The sequence below is a fragment of the Homo sapiens genome, chromosome 12 (genome assembly GCF_000001405.40).
Source record: "Homo sapiens chromosome 12, GRCh38.p14 Primary Assembly".
In the NCBI taxonomy this organism is placed as follows: domain Eukaryota; kingdom Metazoa; phylum Chordata; class Mammalia; order Primates; family Hominidae; genus Homo; species Homo sapiens.
Genome location: NC_000012.12, coordinates 47,414,685 through 47,421,822, shown reverse-complemented (window position 1 = coordinate 47,421,822; position 7,138 = coordinate 47,414,685). Strand labels below are relative to the sequence as shown.

General features: G+C 42.0%; 1 long non-coding RNA gene across 1 annotated transcript; it reads right to left on the bottom strand.

The window, feature by feature from the left end:
- Positions 1 to 1,643: 1,643 nt before the first annotated feature.
- On the bottom strand, positions 1,644 to 6,815 carry LINC02156 (long intergenic non-protein coding RNA 2156). Its single transcript, NR_149087.1, has 2 exons — positions 6,591 to 6,815; positions 1,644 to 1,901 (listed from the first exon to the last, which is right to left on the bottom strand). It is a non-coding gene; the product is annotated as a long intergenic non-protein coding RNA 2156 (long non-coding RNA).
- Between the last annotated feature and the right edge of the window lie 323 nt (positions 6,816 to 7,138).

Below are 7,138 nucleotides of genomic sequence, written 5' to 3'. Positions count from 1 at the left end.
TTTTAGCTGCATACCACAAATTTTAATATGTTGTATATTCATTTTTGTTTAGTTCACTATATTTCTCAAATTTTCTTGAGACTACCATGAGCTATTTATATTGGTTTCCATGTGTTTGGAGATTTTCATGTTATCCTTTTGTTACTGATTTCTAGCTTGAAATCCATGTAGTCAAAAAACATATTCTGTATCATTTTAATTCTTTTAAATTTGTTGAGGTTTATTTTATCATTCAGGATATGGCTTCCTTATATGAACGTGTATGCGTGTATACATATAAGTATACATATATATAAATATAAATATGTATAAATATGTATACATATTTATCTCTTCTGTGTATTCTTCTTCTTTTTTTTTTTTTAAGAGAATCTTACTCTGTCACCAAGGCTGGAGTGCAGTGGCACAATCTCACCTCACTACAACATCTGCCTCCTGGGTCCAAGCAATTCTCATGCCTCAACCTCCCAAGTAGCTGGGATTACAGGCATGCACCACCATGCCTGACTAATTTTTGTATTTTTAGTAGAGACAGGGTTTTGCCACGTTGGCCAGGCTAGTCTTGAACTCATTACCTCAGGTGACCCACCTGCCTCGTCCTCCCAAAGAGTTGGGATTACAGGAGTGAGCCACCGCGCCTGGCCTGTGTATTCTTCTGTTATTGGTTGGAGTGTTCTGTAAGTGTCAATTCATTCCTGTTATTTGATGGTGTTGCTAGGTTCTTCTATATCCTTGCTGATTTTCTGTCTAGTTGCTCCATCAATTGTTTAAAGAGGCTATTGATGCCTCCAACTATAATTGCAGATATGTCTATTTCTCCTTTCAGTTCTAACAGTTTTTGCTTTATGTATTTTGAAGCTCTGGTTTGCTGTGTGGAGAATGATTTAGAGGGGCAGGAGTGGATATAATAATAGCAGATAGAAGGTGACTGACAAGGTCGCAATGAAAATGTTCGTGGCCTGGATGATGGGAGTCAGCTGTCTCTCTGCATTCCAGGTCTCCCAGTTGAGATGCTTCACCTCATTTTTGCTATTCTCCCACTTTATACCTTCTTCTTTGGTGTTTATTCTCAAGAGTTTTTGTCACCCCCACTGACACACACACACACACACGCACCTGCCCTTTTTTCATTTTGAGGTATGGACCATTATTAGCTATCTATAAATGTCCACAAAATGTCAAAATATTAGCTTCTATGATTTACCTCTCCTACGGGTATTTGCATTAAAATGCAAATTAATATTATTTAATAATATTATAAAATTACTTTTTTTCAATAAGCAAAAAAGTGTTTTTAGGCACTATGAAAGGCCAATGCAGAAGACTGTTTTTGTATAACATAGAGAACTAAATTTTCTACCATTTCTAAGGGAGTCCCAGTTGAGGTAAATGCCTGTGAGGTTACTTTTGACAGGGCTGATGGTGGTGGGGTGGGAAGACCTCTTCTATTCCCTGTTTCCTCTTTTTGTTCTCTTCTCTTCTACTTCTGATTCCATCTTTTTACTTCTTCTTTGCACATCTCCATCCTTTCTGTTACTCTCTGCCTTGGGGGCAATGGAAAAAACCACCAGATGTCTGCCTTGAAGTTGTTTCATGAAGAAGGATCATGGTACTCCACAGAACACTATATAATGCTACACCCATTCTGTTTTGAATTTTTATTTTTCTGCTTAACATGGTTTCATGGCTTTCACCTTTCTCATCTCTGCATGGCTTCTCTGCTTGGTAGAGCCCAGACCGAGTTCTCATTCACAGCCACTTTATAACCTTCACCCATCCTTTCTTAGTGTGAGCACCTGACTGGAGCAACTAAGCCGGCTTCTTCAGTTGACCACACTACCATAGACAAAGAAGTTCTTGCAGTAGTGCAGGCTGGACATGTTGTCAGCTCTGATGAGGGTCTAGCAGCAGAGATGGAAAAAAGCAGAGAGATTAGAGACGTATTTAGGAGCTAAGATCATCAAGACTTAGTGATGTGTTTGTCATCTTTGAGGGTCCAGCTTAAATATCTCATATCCATGTAGTTCTCCCTCTATGCATTTCTTACAAAACATGTTTCTCATTTGTGCTCTCATAGTTCATAGTGCATACTCCAATGTGTCACTTTCTGTTTATGTATCTAAATCTTCCACTGAGTCATGATCTGAAGGGGGAGATAATGTCTCATGTCTCTTAGTATTACTAACATCCAGCACCCAGCTTAGTGAAGGGAGAAAGGTGTGAAAAAAAGGAAGCAAAGTCCTCATTAAAATATACATATGAATCTTGAGCTAGATGTTGACCCCAAAACAAACCTCACGAATGCCTGGCATTGTAGGCATACCAGAGACCCTTAGGTCCATCCTAGCTACTTGTTGTGTCCTTGACTGTGACATCACTGTAAGTCAGTATCTCAAATGACAGGGGACAGCTGACTTGTAATGGGGTAACTGGAAGACCAGGGAAACATAAACATGAACACCCCTACCCACTACCATTCCTCAGGCAGAAATTGAGGCCGACAAAGCGCCTTGGGTCCTTTTATGCAATAAACTTAAAACTTTGGCAACATCTCTGTGTAAAGAGAGCTGCCTTTAAGAGTCGTGTGAGTTGGCACTAAGCCTGTTTTCCTTCTCTCAGATCCCTAAAGAGCACAGTTTGAAAACAGAAAATGAAGGAAATAAACCAATACAACCCCATGTAATCATGTGGCACACTTACTCCGTTGTAAGAGAGGTACTTTGCAAGTTGTGGGCATGCTTTTTTTTTTTTTTTTGAGATGGAGTCTCACTCTGTCACCCAGGCTGGAGTGCAGTGGCGCGATCTCAGCTCACTGCCAGCTCCGCTTCCTGGGTTCACGCCATTCTCCTGCCTCAGCCTCCCAAGTAGCTGGGACTACAGGCGCCCGCCAACATGCCCGGCTAATTTTTGTATTTTTAGTAGAGACGGGGTTTCACCGTGTTAGCTAGGATGGTCTCAATCTCCTGACCTCGTGATCCGCCCGCCTCGGCCTCCCAAAGTGCTGGGATTACAGGCATGAGCCACCACGCCCAGCATTGTGGGCATGTTCTCTTTAGTGTCAGAAGGATGGTACATTCAGAGGAAGAGAAGCTTACTATGAACTGGGACAGTCAGAGAGGTCCTGATGGATAAGATGAGATTCAAGAGGGACGTGGTTCCATGGATAATGTAAAGACTCCATGAAATTAAATAATTAGGAATCCATAAGATATTTTGGTAAATATAATCAATAGTAAATATAATGAGCACCTACTATATGCAGGACACAGAGACTGGTCTTATGCAGGTGTAGGAAGAAATTTAAAACATGGAGGGAGGTGCTTACCCTCAGTGAGTTTTAGTCTTAGAGTATAACACCCTTGAGCCCTAAAAATGGTGAGTCCAGCTCCAAAACCCACAGCTTCATGCCCTCTAATCCATCACTGGATAAAATACCCAAATCCTGGCAGATCACTGACACCATCAGAACATGTCAACACTCCAGGATCTTTTGAGGAGTGGACTCTGCTCCTCAGTCTCATCAGGACTGTGAGGAATGCTTCATGAATACCTGTCATCTTCTCAGGAAACAGCTGGAGATGAAGCATGGCTGTCATTGCATTTCTCTTACTGTGATTGTTCAGAATGCTCCGACAGAGCTACCAAGGAGGAGGAATGGCACAACATGATGACAAGATTAATTAGCATCTGCAAGACTGGACATGGCTCCCCAAGGGATTCTTCCCATGCTCTGCCATGGCTGCCTCTGGTACCCTCCCCCTGCCTTGAGATGTCACCTCTGATGTGTCTGGGTCCCCAGCTGGCTTACAAGCTCTTGTGACATCAGTGGCACATTTTGTGGCACTGCATTTAGAAAACTGTAAAGCTGGTATATGCACTAGAGATCTGTCCTTCATTTTCTTCATTTTGTATTTAATGCTGTCCTAACTCCACAAAATAGAGACCTGGAAATGTCAACAATTGGATATAGTATAAGAATTTTAAAAGTAGATTTTAAAAGCACAAAGGCAAATTTAAGTTCAATATTATGGATAATGCAGTATTCTGTATTTAGTAGCAATGAGATCTTTCAGACCTTTCTTTATTTTGAAATATATTATCTTCTAAGGAGTGTAAGAAAGATAGCCTCTGTCTAAACCAGGGGCATGAAAATTACATCCTCTAGGAATTTGAGGAAACATTGCAGAGGGCATTTGACTGCCTGGAGTCTGTCGGAAAGATAAGGCTTTATATGCTTCAGTAATATCCTAGAGCAAAATAACAGCCACTGTTGAGCACTGATTTATGTAACACCCCAGTGTACCGGGCACTATTGTATATGATACCCCAGCGAAATAGATATTATTACCATCTTCGTTCCCAGGATTATAAAGTTGAGAACAAGAACAGTGGGGTAACTCGTCCAGTGTCAATTATCTAGTGCATGTTTAAGCTTGCATAAAGCCCAGATATATTTGACTCCCATCTGTAGTCATGGCCACTGTCCCTGTTGCTCTTGAATAAAAGATTGAGGGATCTGTCTTAACCTGTTCACACTGCATAACAAAATCTATAAACTGAGTGGGTGGCTCATAAACAACAGAGATTTCTTTCTCACATTTCTGAAGGCTGGCAAGTCTAAGATCAAGACAGATTTGCTGTCTGGAGAGAGACCACTTTCTGGCGTATAGATGGCATCTTCTTGCTGTGTCCTCCCGTGGTAGAGGGGGCGAGGGTCTCTCTGGGGTCTCTTTTTATTTTTTTATTTTTATTTATTAATTTTTTTTTGAGACGGAGTCTCGCACTGTCGACCTGGCGGGAGTGCAATGGCATGATCTTGGCTCACTGCAACCTCCGCCGCCCAGGTTCAAGCAATTCTCCTGCCTCAGCTTCCCCAGTAGCTGGGATTACAAGTGCACACCACCACGTCCGGCTAATTTTTTGTATTTTTAGTAGAGACAGGGTTTCACTATGTTGGCCACCCTGGTCTCGAACTCCTGACCTCGTGATCCACCTGCCTTGGCCTCCCAAAGTGCTGGGATTACAGGCATGAGCCACCGTGCCCAGCCTGGGGTCTCTTTTATAAGGACACTCATCCCATTAGTGCCATTAGCTCTGCCCTCATGATCTGGTTGCCTCTAAAAGGCCCCGCCTCCTAATACCATCACCTTGGGGCATCGGATTTCAACACATGAGTTTTGTGGAGCACAAACATTCAGAACATAGCAGGATCCAATGATTAATTCATTTTGTGAATTGTTACTTGCAGTCCTATAACTATGCCACAGTGTTACCTTAGAACGTTAATTAAATGTGAACTGCTCTTCCAGGCCAACGATAGTACAAAATCTACAACAATTTTTAGTTTCAAGTATTTTACCTGACACACTGAAACTTTTCCAAAGCATGAAAACATATTTTTTAAATGTTCTTCAAATTGAGTGGATTTCATCTTTCTCCAGTCACCTACTTAGAACTGAAATACTCATGTTTGTTGGGGAGTACAGCCTCAGCTTTCAACTCATGAGATCCAAAGAGACAGTGGAACCAAGTAGCTCTCTTTTTTTCTTTTTTTGTAGGTGAGTCAGAAGCCAGCCTGTGTGTTACAGAAGGAAGTTCTCCCCTCTGCCTATGAGCTCGTTTTACATCACCCAGGAGAATCTTTCAGACTCTAATCATATTGGCCAAGGTTCTTCCATCACTAGCATGACTATTGACAGGAGAAAGTATCAATAGAACAGGACATGTTCAGATTTAGAAGGTAGAGCAGAGTGAAACAAAGTGAGTGTAATAATTCCTACAATAGGCCGGGCTCGGTGGCTCACGCCTGTAATCCCAGCACTTTGGGAGGCCGAGGCGGGCGGATCACGAGGTCAGGAGATCGAGACCATCTTGGCTAAGACGGTGAAACCCCGTCTCTACTAAAAATACAAAAAAAATTAGCCAGGCGCGGTGGCGGGTGCCTGTAGTTCCAGCTACTCAGGAGGCTGAGGCAGGAGAATGGCGTGAACCCGGGAGGCGGAGCTTGCAGTGAGCCGAGATAGCGCCACTGCAGTCCGGCCTGGGCTAAAGAGCGAGACTCCATCTCAAAAAAAATAAATAAAATAAAATAAAATTCCTACAGTAATTTTTATGTACTTCATGGTAGTACATAAAAATTGTGAAAATGAATATGCTGCGTGGAGTTTTTTTTTCTCCCAGTGGACACACAACATTGAATGATTCATTCACTGTTGGAGCAGAATTTTTTACCCTGGATCAATTGTGTGCCTTCCTGATGATACTTTAATAGAACAAGTGGGCACAGAGTGACAGATGATGACGGGAGGCTCAGACACAAAGTAGAACTACTGTTGCCTGGAGCCAAACAAAAATTATACCATTTAAAAACTCAGAATCCAAGAGCTAATATGTTGTCCACAAAAGAACAAAAGGCAGAAAGTTTATGCTAAAATGAGGTAAGTTATAAATGTCAGTAACTCATAAAATGGGTATGTCCCATTGGGACCTAAAGAGTTAATATATAAAAGGAAACAGATTGAGGTCAGGTAGCCTCATGAAAATCTCAAATGCTGTGACACAGAGACAAACGTGGTACTGACGACTCATACCTGGGCTTGATCCAAGAGGCCTTTTCGAAAGTAGAGGCCTTTGTCTCTCCAGACCTGAGCCTCCTTTTTTGAAAGGGACTCTCTCTGATGTCCATGGAGTTGAAAGAGAAGCTCTGCTTTATTGGAGAAACTCCTTTCTACAGAATCACCTGCACGAAGGCAGACATTTGCAGGGAAATGAGACTGGCTTATATGATTAATTCTATCAAATGGATTTAAAATTAATCCACAGAAAGATAGAAAGAGGAAATGACACTCTGACAATAGCAGGTCTTCATGATGTTCTTTCCCCCATAATTTACTCCAAGTGAAGGTAGAAACCAGGACACAGAACTTTTGTCACAGATGGAAAAAGAAAAAGGGATGCCAGTCATTTTGTTCTAATTCATTTGCATTAAAAAAAAAAATCCTTCCCTCCTGGTTTCCATAGCTACTCCACCCCCTCAGTCTTCATTTGTAACTTGTCTGAGGGACAGGTCAGGGACTAGTGGCACCGGTGCCTTCTCACCCCCACCACAGAAGAGGGTGTCAGAATCACATGCCCTGCA